Source organism: Homo sapiens, chromosome 6 (genome assembly GCF_000001405.40).
Source record: "Homo sapiens chromosome 6, GRCh38.p14 Primary Assembly".
Taxonomy (NCBI): Eukaryota; Metazoa; Chordata; class Mammalia; order Primates; family Hominidae; genus Homo; species Homo sapiens.
In genome coordinates, this window is record NC_000006.12 from 126,116,587 (window position 1) to 126,140,452 (window position 23,866).

Here is a 23,866-nt window from a genome sequence, read left to right on the forward strand (position 1 = left end):
GGAGACCATCCTGTCTGTTCTTATGTAACCTGTCATAAATCCACGTGGATATGTATCTCATTAAGACAGCCATTTAGGATTTGCTTTTTCAGAATTGTCTACTTTGGTCAGTAGTATTTTAACTGTAAAATAAGGATGGTTTCACTTGGTCCAAGTGTCCCTACTGTACCTAATACATTTAACTTTACAAACAGTTTTATACAAGCAATACATTAACCAATGAGCTGTAATGAGTAGAATTTGGATGTTCATGAGGGAGATTTAAATTCACACACCATTTTCCTAGACTCCTTCACTGTCTTGACACTTTCCTATTATTAGCTCTCTTTTTGGAGATATTTTGTGTTAAAATTCCAAAAAGTTCTCAGTCACCATCTGAGAATTTTTGCGTATACAACAATGTAAAGAAAAACTAGGCCTTGCTAAGATGAAGTACCCAGGATCAACTGGTAGCCTAGGAGTTTGACTATGGTCCACGATTCAAATTGGTGGGCCAAACAATAACAAAGGTGGACTTTTGGGGGTTACTTTTGTACATTTGCTTTTTGTATCCTCGCTAAAGAGGTGAAGTAACTAGTAGCCAGTGTGTTGAGGGGAAATTCACTACTGCCTGGAGGCTCTACTGTGTATTCTACACCTCCTGGTCTCCAATGAGATCTTTATTTCTTGTTTTGAATACTTATATTAACTCCAGAAAAAATTTAGTTCTAGAATCTGGATACTGAGCAACACTGCAGCTCTCTTTCTTAGTTCAAATAGTCTCATCTGCTTTTCTTTGATGAATCTTTTTCTTTGTAGGATCTGTTTCTCTGTGGGATCAACATTTTCTCTCTGTGTGTCAGAAAGAATGTCTTTTACCGTCCTTGACAGGGAGAGTCACTTTCTGTTGCATGTGAGCAATCAGAGCAATCATCCTTCTCTCACGTTGAATGAGTAGGTCAAACAGTATTAGTAATATTGCCTAGTTTACTCTAATGTTGATTATATTAGTTTTTTTGCATTTTTTGTGATCTAGAGCTTCAGTTGAACCTTTCATTCTGACCATGATTATTTAGTAAGACCACAGATCCATCCACTAACTTAAAGGAGAATGAATGACCAACTGTAACCCCGCCATCTGATTAGGAAAACAAGGAAACAAACAAAGGCAATAAAGCCCTTCAAAAATGTTTTTAACCAGAAAACACTGAATAGTAGAAATATCACTGTAAATGGAGTCAGGCGATGTGGATTCTAGTCAAAGCTCTACCACTTATTAACTGCGTGACCATAGAATGTCGCTTAACCTCTCTGAACCTTAGTTTCCTATTCCATAATGCAAAACGTAAGTTATAATATGCGTTTTGTCCACCTTACAGACAAGGATCTTTTACAGAGGCTGGAAATTCCTCCAACTCGTCTGTTCAGGTTGACTTTCTGGAAAAGTGTTTTATTCTCAGAGGATTTGATTATTGAGTTATCTTTCTATTCTGCTGCTGTCAGTAGATTTGCCATAAATGTTTCCTGAGAGTCTCTCTCTTGAAGAGATTCAGGCCCCAGTTAAGTTCATCCCAATTAAAAATAGAACCCTGAGATGCAGCAGCTGTAGCACCTCTTAAACCTCTTCAAATAACATTGAACGATTAAGTGGCTGCTACTGTGGAGATAGTGCCCACAAAACCAGCAGCAGGCCCTCTCGGAAAATGATAACACTCTAAGTGGCTGTCAGTCCTTAGTCATTTCTAGTCATTCAGGGGATGTTGCCTTATCTTCTACAAGTTCTAAAAGTTCCTGGGAAGAGAAGAATCACATAAATTCTTTATTTAAAAAAATCCCCCTTCCCACAGCAAAATTCTCTAAAACAATACTAAACAAGCAGGCATGCGCAATTCTAATGAAGTCTATCATTTGAGTGGAAGAGAATTGCTATGGTTACCAATGTTTCTGTCTGGCAGTTTTGGGATAAAAGTCTGATGAAGTGATATTGTCTGGAAAATGAGCATTGATTCCTAGGGAGATGGAAGAATTTACTTTTTTTCTTCCTATTTCTTGAATACATGGCTAGCTTTCAAATATATGACTCAACAATTACATTCGGCTTGAATGGATTTTTTTCTGACATTGTTTCTTATTTTCTTCTGATTTATCAAGGAGAGTTTAAAAATAAACTTTCCTTATCCCATCCATAATAGAAATTTCAGCTATTAAGAACTTACCAAGTGAAAAATTATAGAAATCACTAAAGTTCAGAGGGAGATCTCTTTATTATATTTCAACAGCTATTTGCTTTGGAGACATTTCTTTTCCCCCTTTGTAAAGCTAAATTGCATATATCACTATTTATTAATAAGCAGAATGACAATTATTTAGGCTGCCAAATCTCTTTTATAAACATTTCGTTAGCTAGGTAGGATTTTTATATACTTTCCCAAAGGGCCAAGTTGACAGACATGGGCTTTCACTTTATTTCCATAGAGATCTGGATCCAAATCCCTGGGTCCAAATATATGCCATTCACTTCCCATATTTAGTCCTGTTATCTCTCTGAAGACTGGCCCAAGAGAGGCCTTTCTGATGAGACATTTAGCACAGCGATTAATCACTAGATAAACATGTGAATGGGTCCATTTGCAAAGTGAAAGCTCCCTAAACAGAGGCTTGTCCTTTACAAAAAGAGCAGGTCCAATTTTCCTTAAAAGTTCATGGTTGCCTATGTGGTGTGATTTGAGAAATCCTGAACCTTCTGTTCCCATTACTTTCCCTGTTGAGCTCTACATTTCATAGTGTATCACTCCTGTGGATGAAACCTGGCCTCTCCAGGGCAGTTTCTCTAATAAATGGCCATAGTCCTGGGAAAGGTCCTGATGCCTTAGTGTGCAGTGTGCTTGACACCATAAGATCCTTTCTTCTTTGATAAAAAAAAAAAAAAAAAAGACTAAGACAAGAAAACTGGTGGCTGTTGGGGAAAGGTGTGGAAAGAATGAAAGAAGAAAACCGATGCATGGAAAGATGGTAAAGTACCAATGGACCGGTGTGAGTCAGGTTCTGAATTTAGGAGTGAGGACTCAAATATGCCTGTTTACTGGGTTAGCTTTTGGAACGATCCTATGGAACATATATCCTATGAACATTATAGAAGTCACTAAAGCTGACTGCAAATTGAGTGTAAGTTGAGAGTATCTTTCTGGAAAAACAAATTGGAAATATTTATCAAAGGGATAAAGAACTTACATATATTTAGAACCAAAAATTTCAATTGCAGGACTCTATCCTAAGAAAAACAATTAGCAATGAACACGTTTCAACCCAAAGATGTTCACTGGGACATTATTTAAAATAGCAAAAATATTAGAACAAGTTACATGTTTATTAATAGAGAAATGAATACTATGGAAATAAATTTATGCTGTAAAAGTGACCAAATAAAGCTTGGCTCAGGGGCTCATGCCTGTAATCCCAGCACTTTGGGAGGCTGAGGTGGGCCGATCATCTGAGGTCAGGAGTTCGAAACCAGCCTGACCAACATGGTGAAATTTCATCACTACTAAAAATAAAAAAAATTAGCCAGGTGTGGTGGCGCATGCCTGTAATCCCAGCTACTCTGGTGAGTGAGGCAGGAGAATCACGTGAACCTGGGAAGAGGAGGTTGTAGTGAGCTGAGATCACGCCACTGCACTCACCCTGGGTGACAGAGCAAGATTCCATCTCAAAATATAGTATATAAAATATGCTAATAATATGATCTCAAACATATAAAATAGGTAAAAGAAAGGAATTTTAATAGTGGTTGTCCATGGATGATTGCTATTTTTATTTATTCCTTTTCATATCTTCTAAATTTTTCAGAATGGTCATTTATTACTTTTAGGTACAAAAAAGTTATTTAAAAATTCATCCAAAAGCAAATGTTTGTGTCAACGTTACAAACCTAAAATATGGATGTCCTCTAAGGAGGTTGACTTCAGCTGTATAGCTATTTCCCAGTGGATAATTAAAGACCTGTCAGACTTTCTCTCATATATGAGTCCTTTATGTTTAAGGGCTGTAATTCTATATAAAATGTCTGCATAGAATAACATTTGGCACCTGATGTTTGATTCTGGATAGTATTGTAGTTCTCTATTGCCAAATGTGAGACTAAAAAGTTAGATGGAGGTTAGCATCAAGAAATGTTTTCTAAGCTTTTCCCCTGGAACTGGACAATGGTAGAAATGTGCCAGAAGCAAAGGAAGCCTGTGGAATAAGTCTCTTTCAGCCCAAAGTTATATTAAATAGTTTCATCTATTCACTGGACATAGATTTGAGTCATCAAACTTCTTCCCTAAGTTTGGTTTGCTTCCCATGTTTCAGATATATCTGAAGAGCAGGTCTGGCCTCACTGCCTTGGTACCATTTTGGTGATCTTCCCTTCACCTGGAATGCATCTTAAACCTCTCCTATCTCAGGTTTCTTAGGCCCACGTTAGGTAATAGCTCTTTGAAACTTCTACTATTGCCCCCAATTGGTGTGATCTCCCCATCCTTTGAACTTCCATGGCACACTTATATGGTGTTTTCATATTAACTCTATTAGATTATCAATTTCTTAAGCACAAGGTCTGCTGTGCCTTACTCAACTTTGTATTCCCCATGTCTTGCCCATCTTAGCAGAACTGAATTTGTTTATTTAATGAATCAGGTACTAGTTTGGCTGGCCCAAAGTCTGACTGTCTCACTTCATGCCATTTAGATATGATGCCCATTTATTAGCTCTAAAAAATCACAAGTAAGAATAACAATGAATTTTTCAAAACTTCTTGATGAAATATCTTTCTAGAATAAACTATTAAGAAAACAAAAACATAGAGCACAGAGCTACAAACTTAAGTTACCAGGGTGCTCTACCATGGTTTATTGATCTTTAGTAGTGTGGAAGAACAACCTGTGCTTTCGTGTTAGAAAGAACTGGGTTTGAAGCTAATCTTGACAATTATTGGCAGTGAAATTTTGGGTTAATGTTCTATCTTCTTCAAGTTTAGTTTCCTTACTTTCAAAATGTGGAATTAGTTAATTAATGGCTGTCTCCTAGTGCTGTTGTGAGGGTTATATAAAATGATGTATGAAAGCACTTAGCAAAGTATCTGGCACACAGATTTAAGTCTCTATGCTCATGAGGACAGAGAATCCATCATGTCCAGGACAATTTATGTTCTCTTGGAAAGTCAGGGTTATATCCCCTAGACTTTGCAGGGTAGTTAATTTCTGGGTCTATTATTCTGAAATCACCAATCTACTCTCATAACCACCCCCCACTCCGCCACACAGACACACAAACAGCTCATCTGAAAATTTTGTAGGAATACTGATGTTGGGCTCTGATATGGTTTGGCAGTGTCCCCACCCAAATCTCATTTTGAATTGTAGCTCCCATAATTCCCATGTGTCATAGGAGGGACCTGATGGGAGATAATTGAATCATGGAGGGAGGTTTTCCCATGCTGTTCTTGTGATAGTGAATAAGTCTCATGAGATCTGATCGTTTTATAAAGGGGCGTTCCCCTGCACATGCTGTCTTGCCTGCCATGTAAGACTTTGCTCCCCATTCATCTTCTGCCATGATTGTGAGGCCTCCCTAGCCATGTGGAACTGGGAGCCCATTAAACCTCTTTCCTTTATAAATTACCCAGTCTCGGGTATGTCTTTATTAGCAGCATGAGAACAGACTAATACAGGCTCAGAAAATAATACCTCCAAATGAGAGCCTCCACAGCAGCCTTAGAAGAAAAAGTTTTTCTCTGACCTTCTCTTGCCCTCCTATCTCTCAGTCCCATTTTTCCTCAAGGCTAGGCATAGAAACCAGAATCCTTCCCCAAGGAAGGTCATAGAAAGCAGAACCTCTTTTCCCAAAAGCCAGCCATAAATCCTGAAAATATTATATGTAAGAACTGACCATAAAGAAATTATCTGACCCACATTGTTTGATTCTAGGACATAAGACTGCCATTTCAGAGAGGGCTGTGCCCCACACCAGAAGGAAGGAATGCATGTTCAGAGAAGCCAAGAAGAATCTAGACTGGCTGGCCCTGCTGGGCTTCCCCACTCATTCTCTTAGCTTTAGATCTTACCCTTTTTGTCCAGGCATATTTCTACATGACTGCTCATACTTTGTTGAATCTAAGCATAAAAATGGACAATTTCCCCTATATCTTTGGGTTTTAATTATGAAGGCTCTCATGTATACACATTAGATAAATTTATATGCCATTTCTTTTGTTAATCAGTCTGCTTCATATCAGTGATTTTCAGCAAACCTCTAGGGGCCAGAGCCCTGGTTCTCACATTGAGCTGGAATATTGAAGGAATTTCTGCAGTGAAATCGTATTTGGCTGTACATATATAATCTGTGAACCTCTTAAATAATTAAAGCATAACTTACTAATAAAGCAGGAAAGTTTAGTGGGCTCCAGAACCGAAACCAGTTGGATTTAAAATCCTGCTGCTATACTTAACCTCTCTGTTTCTGAGTTTTCTTATCTGTAATGTGCGATGATAATATCTGCCTTGTAGCCTTGCTTTAAGGATAAAATGAGCTAATGTCTAACAAGCACTTAAAACAGTGCCTAGTATATAGTAAGCCCTCAACAAAAGCTAGCAATTCCCAATTAATTGATTTAAAAGCTGGAGCTCTTAAAGGACTATGTTGAGCCAAAGTATTCCAATAACTAAATGAAGCTCCTGTAGTAGAGTTGGAGCCATCTTTTGGGGGCAGGAAGGGAGTGTATGGCGATTTGTGCCTTATAGTGGTTTGGATTTGTTAACAGCACTAGTCAAGGAACACAGTGCGCTGAAAAAGTTGCCAGACGCCAGATGAGATAAGGAGCGTCCTGTGAGTAAGGACAGACTTGAACACTCCCAGCACATAGACAAAGGAAGTGATGGCTCTGCCTAAGAAATCTTGTCCTTCAACCTTGACTTCACTGGATTTTTTTTTCAGACACTGCTAATCATGTAAATAAACATAAGAACTTCCTGATAGTGGACTATCTCTGTTTTCAGATGTAATTCCTACCTCTATTTGCAACATGGGTATTTAATAAAAGAGGAATAAAGAGGCATGCTTGAATGGATAATCAAGTAAACAGATTTTCTGATATTAAAAAAATAAAGGAAGTATATAATTTGCTCTGGTTATCTGGTCTATATTTTATGGCTAAGTCATTTTAACATTTCAGGGACTTTCTTCTTGTATAATACCTAGACCTTTACTTTCATATATTGAAACTTCTCTACTGATTGATTAGGTTTGTTGTTGTTGTTCTGTCTCACTTATTTCCATTTATTGTCTGTTGTACTTTTTGAGTTTTTTTAAAAACTTAAGCTTTTGATTGAATATCTGGGTTTTTAAAATAATATTTTTAATTTATAATTTAAGAGATGATTTACTTAGTTTAAAAATTTTTTTTCTGCTTCCTGCACTGTTTTCTCTGAGTCTCTTTCTAGGTTTTTTGGTTTTGTCTTTTGATTGTGGCTCATGCATTTTTTGTTAGGGGATTTCCTCAAATGTCTGGAGAACCTAGACTGTCCATTCATAATTATAAATGATGTACTAAAAAGGTATTGGTAATAGGCTTAATAGCATATTAACAAAGAGTATGCAAACTTTCTTATGGGAGGAGATCCCCAAAATGTCTGTCTTAGTTCTTTTCTCTTGGGTCCGTTAGTTTCTCTGGAGAGGAATTTTATTCTATCTGGCTGGTCTTAGGTTGGATGGCAGTATTCTCAGAGCTGAATGTGGGCATGGAATGAGTGGTCTCACTCTTCAGCATTCAGACTTTCACTTAATTGCCCTCTTTTTTAGTGCAGGTGTCATAGATTGCAATAACAGCACCAATTCTGCATGCGTCCTTGTATTCACATCCTTTGCTGTGAGACTGCTGTTTCTCTCCCTGAATAGGTGGGGTCTTTTTATGGGGTCCCGAGTCTATTCTACTTTGGGCAATAAAATATGACAGGATTGACACTGTATCACTTCCAAGGTTAGGCTTCAAAAAGTGTGCATTTTTGTCTGTTCTCTCAGGCCTGTCACTGGCATAAGAACATTTTGAACATGGCTGCCAGATGATGAGAGGCTTGTAGATCAGAGTGGAGTCCACATAGTCACCCTAGCCAAAGCCAGCCTAGATCAACCAACCAATGTTCCAGCATGTGAGCATGCGCAGACAGGATCCACCTCCTAGCCAATCTTCAGCTAACACCATATTCCTAAGCAATACTGTTTTATGGTTGTATACCGCTGGAGTTATGTGATTGTTTGCTATAAAGCATTATTGGCATAACAGATAATTACAGGGTTTCACCACCATCCTCAGATGCAAATCTCTTTAGAAATTAACCTCCTGTCTTTTGCCCAGACTGGGGAGAAGTCACCAAGCTATAGGGGTAGGGAGGGATCAGGACATCAAACTGCACCTTATATTAATCTTTAATTAATCTGGGCTCCATACTCGATCTCTGATGTGACAATTCCTGAGCTTTTCCAGGGCCCTGTGGCTCAAGTGGGGTCATTTCTTTTTGAATCTCTCTCTGCAGGCGCCAGGTTTTGACCTGGTCTATGCTCAGACACTTTCCATTTTTAGAGGTTTTATTTTTCACTCTTCTTTGCGTTGATACCCTCCTTGGTTCACTTTGCCCGTGGGGTTTGGGCTCTTTAGTTTTTTTCCTCTTATATGAAGAAATTTTAGGAGGAAGTGGGGGTAAACATGTGCTTTTACATTCCATGTTTAGCCAGAAATGTCTCCAGGTTTTAATTTTTCACCTTGACTTTAAAACTTTTTTTTTCACTTGTAAATGTTCATCTGGTAGGTGTGATTTACTTCAGGGTGTTAAATGGCATGATTATAAACATCTCTCTGAATAATTTAATATAATAATAATTGGCTCCTATCCAATGCTTTTTCTCTTCTTCATTGAATCTCATATATAAATTTATTTCATGGATATTTATCAAGGTTCTATTATGGGCCACGTATAGTGCCAACATTAGTGAAACAGTGGGAAACACAACAGACATGGTCCCTGTCCTTAAGGAACTTATGATATAGTGGTTTATCACTAGTCTTCTTGAAGTACTTCTTTCTGCCTTGTCTTAGTAAATATCCTAAGATCACCCATCACCTACCTCCGTTGTTCACTGGAGTTTATAGTGTGGTGAGCCAGCGTAAGAGTGGAATCACAGAGTTGTCAATTTAAATATTGGGCAGTAACTTACCCCTTTTTAAGCCTTGGGATCTTCAGTGTAGGATGAAATGTTAAAAAAAATTAGACTATATTGTCAACATTTAAAAATTAAGAGCTCTCTCTTCTTTCTCCGAAACACACATGCATGCACATTCTGATTTCTCGCTTCTTTCAAAAAATCAAGATACTGCAATATTGGGCCACTTTCCTACATGATATTAAGCAGAACTCAGTATGGGCTGGCCTCCTTAGATGGGCATGGTCTGTGTAATTTGCCTAGGACACCACCACTTCCCATTATAGTAAGAAAGTTTTATACATTTGTGTTATTTGTCTGGCCTTTATGGGCATTGAAGTTTTCCACCTGCTTTAGATATTAGGAAATGGCAGTGCTATTTAAAAAAATTCCTAAAGGAATACTAATCTGTTAACCTGTAGCTTTCAAAGACATGAGACATTATATTTTTCCCAGATATTATAGATCAGAAGTTCTTAAATATTAATGTATTTACTCATATACACATTTAGTCATAGATTTTAAATATATTTCAACGTTTAGTTGTTGAAAACTAAATGAAGTAACAACAGTACTTGATAATGACTGGGTTGCAGATTCTCAACTAGCTTTGACCTTCTTAGATGTTTCATTTTGTGAAATCCATAATTTATTTGATTTCTGGCCCTTTGTGTTAACTCACTGGACTCATTTGCTCTCTTGGTCTACAGCCTCCTCTGAATTGCTTCTGCCCTGTTTTCACTTTGATCCAGTTTCCACACAGTTCTGAACCCATGGCTCCATTTATCAAACCTCACGCTGTGCCTTCAGAAGCAGTCTTCATGTTTTCTCTCCCTGGCATTTGGGCTATGGGCATCCCTTAAAGATCCCAGCCTGGTTCATTCTTCTAGTCCCATAAGCCTCTGATTAACTTTAGTGGTTCAACAGAACTGCATCTCTGCAGGCTCTTGCCTGGTCCAGCCTTGCTTAAACCACCCCTCCTAAGATCAAAAAAGAGGGTTCAAATATCTTGTTAACCCTAGGGTCCTGTGATGGTTATCCAAGTTGAGCAGAATACTGTTGAGATATTAAGATTGATTTGAACACTGAAGTGAACTTCCCACCCATGAAAATACATGAATAAGGATTTTCCTCTCTTCCTTAGGAAAAAAATAAATCTTTGTTCCTCTGATAATCCTATTGCCCTTGTATTTTGCCTAATTTCTTCAAGAGATATACACTCAACAAAAAATCAAATATAATTCAAGGGTGTTGTAGTCGAGAACAATATTAGAAGAAGGAGGTTGATGACCGGTCTCCTTCTCTGCAGTGTTCAGTGCACTTCTGAGAATTGTGCTTTGCCATGCATACCACCAAAGGAGGGAGGGAGATGCAGATAAACTAGAGGTTGTCCTCAGGAGAGCCTTTAGGATGGATTGTGGGAACCCAAAGGGCACCCATGTGAGGAGTAGTTGAGAAGATAGGGAAGAGTATGCTTGGAGAAGAGGAGACTTTGGGGTCGGGAGTGGTAGTTTGAGAGAGGGCAGGAACATAGCTGTCATCAGAACTATCAAATTGTCACATGGAAGAAAGGGTAAATGACTCCAAAGGATTGAAGTTGACTCAATGGGTAGAAACCTCAGAAAGATATATTTGGGTTCTGGTTTTCTTTTTCTTTCTCTTTTTTATTTAAAGAAGAGCCATCCAAATCTTTTTTTTTTAATTATACTTTAAGTTTTTTATTATACTTTAAGTTTTAGGGTACATGTGCACAACGTGCAGGTTTGTTACATATGTACACATGTACCATGTTGGTGTGCTGCACCCATTAACTCTTCATTTAACATTAGGTATATCTCCTAATGCTATCCCTCCCCCCTCCCCCCACCCCACGACAGGCCCCGGTGTGTGATGTTCCCCTTCCTGTGTCCATGTGTTCTCATTGTTCAATTCCCACCTATGAGTGAGAACACGTGGTGTTTGCTGAACGCGCCCGATCTCGTCCAAATCTTAAGTTTTCTGTGAGGGAGAATAGTCTGGACCTCTATGCAACTAAGCATAAAGTGGATGACCACTTGGTGGGGATATTGTAGAAGGGATTGACTCATTGACAGGGTGATTGGACCAGATGATCTTTAAGATTTCCCTCTATCCTGGGATTCTACAGTGTTTAAAAATTGTCATGACAGGAGATTCCTGCACATTTTAAAAATTAAAATCACAATATTGTACGTGCTTTAGAAAGCCTAGCGGAATGGATTTAATTCTGCCTATTGTAGTGATAATAATGCAATATTAATATGTGGATATGATCTGTTTATGGATTACTCATATAGACAAATTAGACATATTTATTGGTCAACAAGTGCCACTACACATTGTTGGAATACATGTGGCTGCTTTTTTCATAAATTAATCATTGGAGTGAATTAAGATGAGAACATAACAAATGTCAGCTCATAACAAATGTCATCTAATTCTAGACCCCAATTTATAGATGAAAATAATATATATTCATTTTCTTCCTTCTCTCTTTCCAAATTGGTAGAGAAAAGATATAAATATTCCTCTTATATCATCACTTAGAGATAAGAATATGCTAAATCTGGAAAATTCTGTTAGGAGGACCTATAATGGAATAATTCTGCCTCATTTCTTTCACATGAGATAAACTTCACTTTTATTAGTATTTCTCCCCAGAGTCTTCTCTAATCTTCTCAATTTGGGTTCTTCCCATTTTCTCCCATGTCCTTGGACCACTTACTGTGTTTTAACTAGAGCATGGTTATATGTAAATATGTGTGTTTTCCCCAGTGGATGGCAAAAAGGAATCTTCCTTGCACATTTTTGTAATCCCCACAATACCTACTGCCTTTCCTGCGTGGGGTGATTCTCAATAGACGTTTGTGGTTTGAAATCATTTCAAATCACAAATAAGCACCTTCACTTATGCACTACATATTTGGTCCAGCAGTTAATATGACAGTACTCATTAAATATCCCATGTGATATTGTGATGAACTTGCTTTGGAAGTTATTGATCATGACCATTATATGAGAAGAAGAAAAACCTGATTACTCTGAACACGTAGGAGCACAGCAGAAAAGAAAATGCACCTAAAAGGATTTTTGTTTTCTGATTTTTTTTTTTTTTTTTGCACAGCTTTCAAGTGCAGACAACTTTTTCTTGTTGTCTAGAGCCATTGCTTCCAGAGCTTATGAGGAGCTATAAAAGAGGTCAGGACACCTGGGTCTAGTCTCAGCTCTACCACGAACTAGCAATGTGGCCAAGCACCAAGCCTTTCTGGTCTTAGCTTTCTCATTTATAAAATGAAGAAGCCAAAGTTAACTGGATTTCTAGCCCCTGCCAACTCTCATATCTCTAACAGTAAGTTGAGAGATTTTTCTCTCTCTGACATTGTCCCCTTTCTTTCCACCTCTCACAATGTGCGCAACTTGAGATAAGTTACTTCACCTCTGTGTGGCTCAGCTTTCCCATGTATACAATGGGAGATACCTACTTTTTAGTGTTGTGATTAGGATTAAATGAGTTAATGCATGTGAAGTGTTGGAACAGTGTCTGATGTGGAATACTCACTAATGTTAACTTTTTATTTTACTACTTTGCTGAAAATGTTAGTGTATTTCCAGTTGTTAAAATTACAAACCAACCCCTCACATGGTGCCTGACTCAGGAACTTTACCGACTATGGGTTTTCAATCTATTTTATATCATTCCTCTTTATTTTTTAATTTTTAGTTTTTGATGCAGTGTCTCCCACTCTTGCCCAGGCTAGAGTGCAGTGATGCAATCATAGCTCACTGCAGCCTTGATATCCCAGCCTCAGGTGATCCTCCTGCTTCAGCCTCCTAAGTAGCTGGGATGACAGGCATGTGCTACCGTGACTGGATTTAAAAAAAATTTTTTTTATGTAGAACGAGGTATTACTATGTTGCCCAGGCTACATTCCTCTTTAAAGTAGCATTATATAAAATTGTATTTCCGTCTGTTCTCAGAATATCTCTGATCATTCACACACTGTAGTCTATAATTTTCTATCTGTATCCCCTACCCTGTGTTGCTCAGTGTGTTTGTTTTTACACAACTAATCTTTGGCTTCTGGCTCACTGTCCTGTGTTGAGGGACCATGTAGAGACTTCGGTGTTTGCCATTTCCATGCTCATAGAACTCATTAGTACAATAGATGGAGACACCTGGTGCATAGAGATGGAGGACTCAGCATGAGAATGTCCCATTTTCCATAGCCCTCATTTTTGCTTGGAGCATGATGAATGTTACACTGGCATAGTTAAGAGGTCCATCAGTTCAGTTCAGTATATTATAAGTAAAATTAAATATATTGAGCATTTCATCTGTGATAAGCTCTGTTCTAGTTTTGTATATATGAGAAAATATATCCAACTGGAGGTAGAAGAGAGAAAGATATGAAGAGAACAACAGCGGGGTCTTTGTTCTCAAGGAGTCTGCACTGTTGCTCGATGTGGTGCTCTAGATATCAGGGAGAAGTATGCCTTGGAAGATAATAATTGACACCTACATAGAAATTCAATGGATACAAAATCCTTTTATATATGTAATATCGTTTAATCCTTCATCACTATTATTTGATTTAATCCAAAGTTTAACTAAGTTTTGCAGAGGTTAAATAACGTGCCAGCAGGCTGCCCAGCCAGAACGGGAAGTCAGAATGTTCTTCTGCCTGTAGGGTGTGTGCTCCAATGTGCCTGGAGAAGAAGAATGTGATAATGGATAAAACGCAGAGGTTCCTTGTATGTTTTACTGTTTTTTTTTGTTAGTCTGTAGTACACTTCTGATTCTCCAAAGTGGTACACAATTTTCCAACTTTGAATTTTTGACAGAGTCATGATTTAAAGCTTCAAGCATATGATTATGAGATGGTGGTTCTCAACATTTACCACAACCTCCCAGCAAACCACACAGCAGTCAACTCTCAAGATTTCTTCCAGGAGGGTAAAGGGATTTTTCTCTTCACATGCCATCCAACTCCATGGGAAAACATTAGCAGTGACAAATGACTCTGGATGAATGCTTGAATCCGAGGTAAATATGAGCCTTTGCTCCTCCACATAAGAAAGGTGCCATCAGAGTATTCTCTATGAATACATTTGAAAGACAACATCTGAACAATTTTGGTTATTATCTATTAGCCTTCAGGAGAATTTCTATAATTACGAAGCACGCAGTGGGAAGTGTTATTGCTTGGAGCCAAGTCTATTTATGTTGATATTTGTAGATATTTACATTTATTTTCTTTGGCAGACATAGACAAACACATTTCTGAAAACTACTTTGTCTGTGGAAAAACGAAGCAGAATATACTTTAAAAAAATCTACCACAGAAAGGATAATAATAGCTTTCATGTCTGAAGACAACAGACAGGCATGAAATATAAGAATTATTTTATCCTGGACAAGAGAATTGGTGTTAGAGCAAATTTTGACCATGTCACAGTCTGGATAACTCTTAGGTTTAAAACTTGCACCCCCATAGACCTCAGTCCACAGAGGAGATAACTGATCTGGGGCTTAGCAGTATTGGCAGGGTGGTGCATTATGGGATTTAGCTATAGAGTGTTTGCTCCCCAAAGAGAGAACTGCAGGAATTTTAAGAACTTGCATCAATTCCCCTGTGTAGAACAGTATGTCTAAGTATATTTCAAGTAAATCCTCAACTCAACACATAAAGCTGCAGTTACACCACGCCTTTAAAAGGAAATTAGAGCACAGAAACGAGGCCAGACTGCCCCTCCTGGAGACAAATCCCCTGTTCATCTCTTCAACTGCTGTCAGTCCTTAAGTATGTTTACCTCCTGTCCCACCCACCCCACTACCACATCAGTTTCAGGCTCTTGATTTTTTCTTCCAGGCCTCAAAAAGCATGTAGCAATTTATATAATTTTTTTAGACATTGTTTTTCTAGCAAATTAATTCAGATCACAATGCTTTTTGTGATGAATTTTAAAACATTGATTATCTTTTTTTTTTAAGAAAGTCCTCAAAAATGGTCTTTGAAGGGGAGATTTGCTCTGATGAGTATGATATAAAACCTCAGCCTTTGAATAAATACAATATGCCTTGCTGGCATAGTAACTAGGTTGCTTGGATGAGGATGCATACTAATTAGGGCAACTTAATGGCATAATGACTAGGGTCATTTATTCATGGTTGGTTGTTCTTCAAATGTAATTTGGGAGAGAGTGCCAATGCATACCCATTCTACCTTCAATAGAGAGAGTGGAATTCCACAGGTTTATGGGGACAAATAGGACAACACAGGTAATTTCACAGATTTGCAGTTAGCAGTTTTCTATTTGATACCCACAGTTTTTAACAGTTTTAGCTCCAAACATGTTAGAATTAAACCTCATTGCCTGTAGAGTTTAAAAGACAGCATTATCATCTGTATGTGTATGAGGTGGCAACAACTTTGAAGACAAACATAAGGCATAGGTGGCACAGGTTCAAGGACCTGTCACTCTGTGGACTCACTTCTGAATTGTTCAGTTGCTTTTGCTCTTAGTCACCTGCATCTAGTAGATGCATTTTGGAATATCCCAAGAAAGTGAAAATGACCTAACATTATTCAAGCTGTGCTTTGGTGTTTCTCCTGTTGACCTTTGCCTGTTACTTGACTTTGGTTGAGTAAAGAGCTATGACATGGATATCCTATCATTTCATATTCTGGCCTAGTCCTATATCTATCTCAATGTATAATTTTCCTGCAGTCATACTGTCTAATGAGTGCTGGTGAGAATTATGTATCATAGGTTTGAAATAAGATCTATTTTAATTTTTGAAGAGTGATGACCAATATGCCATTCCGTCTATTTGACTGAAACTGATTGCAGTAGTAGATTATATTCTCTCCAAGACAGTAATGACACCACGACTGTTTTTAATGACTTCCAACATAGGAAGAAAAACTTAGAACTCAGAACTCAGGGTGGGTGTGGTAGAAGAATTATCGTATAAAATCCATATGTTTTAGAGTTGGTTGTACTGTAGTAGAAGAGCTCAGGTATGTTTTGGGTTAGTATAGTCCCTCAAACAATTTCTTTCAAATGTTTTCTTTCAACCAAATCTGAAACACATTTTGCCAAAACTTTTTTTCCCTTAATTTTTAAAGGCATGTGTATTTAAAGGGACATTTAATCCATATGTTTTGGCTCATTTACACTTAACTCATCAGGATATTGTTTTTAAGAGTTATTTGAGCTCCACAAAACCCATTTTATAAGTCTTTTCTTCCGCAGTACAAGGAAGTTGTGTTTTGCTGGAAACAGAAATGGAACCCACAAAATAATTAAGTTCGGATGAAAATTGAGAATGTACAAGGTTTCCGAAAGCCACTAAACTTAACTTAGAAAAACATGTTATTCTCTTGCAGTTTTTTAGTTACTTCTAGATATCAATATGCTTTAGCCAAGGTGCTAAATTAGAACATCTTTTAAATCTTTATTTCGCAGTTAAGTGTCTAAATGCTTATTTCCCAAAATACCATCTTTAGTGTAATGGATAAAAGCAAGGTTAAAAAAATAAGGAGCATATACAAAAAAGTGAGCTCTAAATTTCTTTTGAGGTTGATGCAGAGCTATGATCTTGAACCTTCATTGTGCCTTTTCTCTCCTTGCCAGTCTTTTCATGGAATTATGCCTGCTATGCCCATAAAAGTTCCTTCTGCTGTGTTTCATGAATGTAGGTAGCTACTGCTACACAGGATCTCACTGTGTCTGCATCCTCAGCACCTTCAGAGCCCTCAGATATTTCCTGCTGGGTAGAAGGATGGATCTAGGGAATTTATTAGACAATATAGTGGGATTTCCCTTCTGTCTTGTATTTCTCAGGAAGATTGGTATCTGAGGATATTCCTGGAGAGAACTCAAGAAAATCAACATATGCTTTAGATAGGGTATATACAGACAATGTCCCTGAAGAGTTGGGTGAGAGATAAAGCCCTTCAGATCAGCATTGACCTGAAATTATATTCTCATCATTTTAGAGAGAAGTTGAGCACCTCTGAAATAAATTTTGTCTATTGAACCTCAATATCTAATGAAAAGAACTACCCTTTCTCAATAAAAAAAAAATTACTACAACATTTTCCATAGGCCCCAGAATTCCTTGAGCAAACCTTCTGTAATGAGTTGAGTTGTTGATACTCCCCTTTTCTTCTCATATTTGGGTAGATATCTGAGTAAAAATCAATTTCAATTAGAGAAGGTAAGAGCAAAAAATTAATAAGATTTTTATATTTCATAGTAAAATATAAAAATGTGTATTAGACAACAATTAGTAAACAAGTAACAAAATGGCAGTAGTAAGGCCTAATGTATAAATAATAACATTAAATGTAAATGAACTAAATTAGTCACTTAAAAGACAGTATGGCTGAATGGATTAAACAATAAGACCCAATTATATGTTGCCTACAAGAAAGTCACTTCACCTGAAAAGACATACATAGACTGAAAGTGAAGGGATGGGAAAAGATATTTCATGCAAATATAAACCAAAAAGAACAGGAGTGTCTATACTTAAATCAGATAAAATAGAGTTTAAGTCAAAAACTGAAAAGAGAGACAAAGAAGAGGATTCTATAATGATAAAACGTCAATTTAGCAAGAGGACATACCATAGTAAATACATATGCAACCAACACTGAAGCACTCATATATATAAGAAAATATTAATAGATCTAAAGAGAAAGACAGATTACAATACAATAGAAGTAGGATACTTCAACACCCCGCTTTTGGCAAGGACAGATCAGCCAGAAAATCAACAAACAAACATTGCTGTTTGACTGTATTGTAGATTAAATGGACTTAACATACCTTTAGAGAACATTTCATCCAGTTGGATGTGAACACACATTTTTTTGATTACCACATGAAACATTCTTCAGGACAGACCATATGTTAGACCACAAAACAAGTCTCAACAAATTATAAAAAGGTCTAAATCATATCAAGTATATTTTCTGAACACAATGAAATAAAACAAGAAATCAATAGCTAGAGGAACTTCAGAAACCATACAAATACATGGAAATTAGGCAACGTGCTCTTGAACAACCAGTGGATCAATGAAGAAATTAAGAAGGACAATAAAAAATTTCGAGAATCAAATAAAGACAGAACACAACACACCTGAACCTATGAGATACAGAAAAAGCAGCACTGAGGGAATTTTATACCAGTAAATGCCTACATCCAAATAATAAAAAAAATTTAAATAATTAACCTAACAATTCACTTCCAGGTTACTAGAAAAGCAAGAACAAATCAAACCCCAAAATAGTAGAAGGAAAGAAATAACAAAGATCTGGGCAGAAATAAATGAAATTGAGACTAAAAGAAAAATACAAAATATTAACAAAATTAAACTGGTTTTGAAAAAATAAACAAATGGACAAACCTTTAGCTAGATCAACTAAGAAAAAAAGAGATAAGACCCAAATAAATAAAATCAGAAATGAGAAAGGAACATTATGATGGTTAGCACAGAAATACAAAGGATCATTAGAGACCATTATGAACAACTATATGCCAAAAAATTAGAAAACTTAGAAGAAATGGATATATTCTGAACACATACAACTCACCAAGATTGAACCATGAAAAAATAGAAAACCTAAACAAACCAATCATGAATAATGAGATTAAAGCAGTAGTCTAAATTTGGTCATCAAAGAAAAACCAAGGACCTGAAGGATTCACTGCTGAATTCTACCAAAACATTTGAAGAAGTACTAATACCAATTATACTAAAATCATTTAAAAATTAAAGAGGAAGGAATACTTCCAAATTCATTGTATACAGCCAGCATTAAGCTAATACCAAAACCAGACAAAGACACACACACAAAGTAAAACTACAAGCCAGTATCCCTGATGAACACAGAAGCAAAAATGCCCCCAAAAATACTAGCAAACAGAATTCAACAACCCGTTAAAAAAATCATTCTCAATGATCAAGTGGGATTCACCTCATAGATGCAAAGACAGTTCAACATACACAAATCAATAAACACAATACATTATGTCAACAGAATCAAGGACAAAATCCATGTGATAATTTTTATAAATGCTGAAAAAGCACTTGATAAAATTCAACATCCCTTTATGATAAAAACCTTCAACAAATTGGGTATAGAAGGAACATATCTCAACACAATCAAGGCCATATATTACAAGCTCACAGTTAAAATCATACAGAAAGAGTAAACATTGAAAGCCTTTCTACAAAGATCTGTAATAAGATAAGGAAGCCCACTTTCACCATATGTATTCAACAGAGTACTGGGAATCCTAGCCAAAGCAATTAGGCAAGAGAAAGAAATAAAGGACATCCAAATTGGAAAGCAGGAAGTCAAATTATTATTATTTTTTTTTGCAGAAGACTTGATCTTATATTTAGAAAAACCTGAAGACTCTGCCAAAAAACTTTTAGAACTGAAAATTTGTAAAATTTTAAGATACAAATAACATCTTAGTAAAATTACAAGATACAAATAACATATAAACATCACTAGTGTTTCTATATGCCAACAGAGATCTATCTGAAAAAGTAATCAAGAAAACAATTTCATTTACAATAGCTACAAAAATATCAAAATACAAATTTAACCAAAGATGTGAAAAATCTCTGTGAGGCAACTAAAACACTGATGAAAGAAGTTGAAGAGGATATGAAAAATGGAAAATATCCCATGCCATGGATGATAAAAATTAATATTGTTAAAATGTCTATACTACCCTAAGTGAACTACAATCAAAACACCAGTGACATTCTTCACAGAAATAGAAAAACAATCCTAGAATTCACATGGAATTACAAAAGATCTGGCACAGCTAAGGCAATCCTGAGCAAAAAGAACAAAGCTGGAAACATCATACCACCTGATTTCAAATTACATGACAAAACTATAATAAACATAACAGCATAGTACTGGCATAAAAACAGAGACATAGACCAATGGAAGAGGATAGAGACCCCAGAAGTAAGTGCATGTATTTACAGTCAACTCATATTTGACAAAGGCACCAAGAATATACGCTGGGGGAAAAGGACAGTCTCTTTAATAAATGATGCTGGGAAAACAGGATATCCATATGTAGAAAAATGAAAAAAAAAAGACCCCTACCTTTCACCATGTACAAAAATTAACTCAAATTGGATTAAAGACTTAAATGTAAAATCTGAAACTATAAAACTAGTAGAAAACATTGGGGACATACAGGACATTGGACTTAGCAAAGATTTTTTTGGATAAGACTTCAAAAGCACAGGCAACAAAAATAAAAACAGACACATGGTATTACATAAAGCTAAAAAGCTTCTGAACAGCAAAGGAAATAATTAACAAAGTGAAGAGACAACCTACAGAACAGGAGAAAATATTTTCAAACTATCCATCTGAAAAGGAATTAATAACCAGAGTATGTAAAGAACTCAAACAACTTATTAACAAAAAAGCAAGCTAGCAAGCAAGAAAAAAAATCTGATTTAAAAATGAGCAAAAGAGCTTAATAGACATTTCTCAAAAGTAGACATACAAATGGCCACAAATGCTCAATATCACTAATCATCAGGGAAATGCAAATCAAAACCACAATCAGATATTATCTGATTGGCTTTATCAAAAAAGAAAAAATAACGAATGCTGGCAAGGACGCAGAGAAAGGAGAACACTGGTAAACTGTTGGTGAGAATGTCAAATCATTATGGAAAACAGTAGGAGGTTCCTCAGAAAAACAAAGATAGTACTACTATATGATTAATCATTCCATTGCTGGGTATATGTCCAAAAGAGAGGAAATAAGTATGTCAAAGGGATATCTGCAGTTTCACGTTTATTGCAGTAGTATTTGCAATAGCCAAGATATGGAATCAACCTAAGTGTCCATCTACAGATGAATAGATAAAGCAAATATAGTGTATATACACAACGGAATATCATTCAGCCATAAAAAAGTTAATGAAATCCTGTCATTTGCAGCAACATGGATAGGACTGGAGGTCATTATAAGTGAAATAAGCCAGTCACAGAAGGACAAATAATGGATGTTTTGAATCATAGGTAGGGGCAAATAAAAGTAGATCTCATGGATATAGAATAGAATAGTAGTTACCAGAGGCTGTCAAGAGAAGGTGGAAGAGGATAAAGTTGGTTAATGAGTACAAAAATATAGTTAATAGAAGGAATGTGTTCTATTATTTGAAAGTACAGTAGGAAAATTATAGTTAACAATAATTTATTGTATATTTCAAAATAGCTAGAAAAGAAGAATTATAATGTTCCCATCACAAAGAAAAGATAAATATTTGAGTTGATGAATAGTTCAATTACTCTGACTTGATCACTATATGTTGTATATGTATATTAAAATACCATGTTCACAAAAATGTGTACAACTGTGATATAGCAATAAAAATACAATAAAAGTGTGTTATGAATAGCTGAATATCTGGTAATATAAATAAAAATCTTTAAAATCTTAACAGTCTGAATACTAGAGAGTAAATTTTATTTCTTAAAAGACTTTTACTACAGTCAATTTTGTCATGCAATATTAATGGAGTGTAATGAGTTTGATAGGGCAGTTCTATGTATGTGCTGTCTTCCCTTTGAGAATGAATATGAATTCTTTTCTGTCAACATTGCATATAGATAATATTAATCATTTGAAGCACACACTGTGGCTATACCTGAGGTAAGGTGTTCTGGTGTTGATAAATGAATGAATCATCCTCAGAGATTTAGATGAAATTCTTGAAAAGTTTGCTATTATTTTTAAGGCAAATATTTAATTTGGGAACAGAGGTCCATCTTTCTGAATATTTGAGGCTTCTAAAATGTACAAAAAGGAATCTGTTTGACATTTCTGAGAAATAGAGGAATCCAATGATATAAGGGTCTTTTCTGAAAGCATTAAAAAATTTAGTTATAATCTTGAATGATAACTTTCAGTGTTTTATCACAATGAAAGTATTTCATTGACCCAAATTAATGGACTGTTTATTTTTTTATACTGTAATGCTAGTGAAGTTGTAGGGAAAATTATATACCTAGATATGTATTTGTATAAATATATAAACCTTCTCAATATCTGGCTTCAGTAGTCTTACATTTTATTTATTGAAATTTAAAAACTTTAGTAAGTCAGTTCTCATAAATATTAACCTAGGAAAACAATAATGCATACTTAGCAGCAAGGTTAATTTATGGACCTGCATTTGATGTGCCCTTTTATTTTCCTGGTTCAATTCCTGGATTAAGTAATAATTCTAATTTTAAGAAATAATATGAAGTTATCCAAATAAATATAGAAGTAGCTGAAACTATTTTTTGCATATTTTAAATTTTATTAAATTTAAATAGTAAAACTAATACATATATCCAGACTATAAAATAAAAATATTATAGGTATGGCTACAATCTCCTTTGATCATTACCATGAATCTTGATCCTTTTTTGAGAAGTAGCAACAGCATTTAATTTGATGTATATCTTTTCAGAAGATTTTATTTTTATTTATGTAACAAATATATATAAATATTTTTTCAAGACTGAGTCTTGCTCTATTGCCCAGGTGGGAGTGCAGTGGTGTGATCTTGGCTCACTGCAATCTCTGCCTCCTGGGTTCAAGCAATTCTCCTGCCTCAGCCTCCCAAGTAGCTGGGATTACAGGCGCCTGCTACCACACCTGGCTAATTTTTGTATTTTTAGTAGAGATGGGGTTTCACCATGTTGGCCAATCTGGTCTTGAACTCTTGACCTCAAATGATCCACCCACCTCACTCTCCCAAAGTGCTGGGATTACAGGTGTGAGCCATCATGCCCAGCCTATGTAACAAATATTTATGGCCACATACTATCTATATAGTTTTTTTTGATGTGTGTGTTTTAAAATGTAAATAGTATTTTAATGTATGTGGTTATTTTGTAACTTCTATTTGGCTACCTTGCTAAACTTTCTAATGTGAACTCTAACAATTCACAAGTTAATTTCTTAGAGGTTTTTTTGGTAATTATTATATCATTTGCAAATAATGATAATTTTGTCTGTTTTTATTCTGATTCTTATATCTGATTTGTTATTGTCTTGGATAGACAAGGATGGTGCAGAAGTGCTGGATAGATAATGATAGTATTTTGCATTATTCCTTACTTTAAGAAATTACTTCTAATATTTTATCCATTAAGTATGGTACTTATTACATATTTCCACTAGTGACATTTATTAAAAGGGTTTTCTTCTATTTCTAATTTCAGAAGATTAAAAATGAGGTATTAAATTTTAGTCAATACCTTTACATTACTTATTTTTTGTCTTTTGTCTTTTAATATGGAGAATTGGTAGGTTCTCTAGTATTGAACCATCCTTGTATTCCTGGGATAAGCCCTATTTGGTCCTGATGTGTAATTAAAAAAAAATCCCTGTATCTGATTTGCTAATATGTAATTCAAGGTGTATATATCTTCATTTATAAAAGTTATTTGTCCATGATTTCCTTTCTTGTGCTTTCTCTTGTTTTGGTATTAGTGCTATATTTGCTTGGTAAAATGGATCAGATAATTTCTTATCTTTGTCTTTACTTTGAAAAGTTTATATAACACAAGAATTATGT

At 35.8% G+C, this 23,866-nt stretch overlaps 1 protein-coding gene across 25 annotated transcripts in view; it reads left to right on the top strand.

Annotated features, from left to right (window-relative positions):
• TRMT11 (tRNA methyltransferase 11) overlaps positions 1-23,866 on the top strand; it is a 285,804-nt gene that overhangs the window by 130,047 nt on the left and 131,891 nt on the right. For 7 of the 25 annotated variants that reach the window (XR_007059310.1, XR_007059293.1, XR_007059299.1 and 4 more), the window contains one exon: positions 14,071-14,272. The exons of 15 other annotated variants lie outside the window; for them this stretch is intronic. The gene's annotated coding sequence lies outside the window, so the exon portion shown is untranslated. Of the gene's footprint in view, positions 23,746-23,866 lie in introns of those variants that run through there. 3 more of the 25 variants (XR_007059297.1, XR_007059314.1, XR_007059313.1) reach the window with 2 other exon arrangements.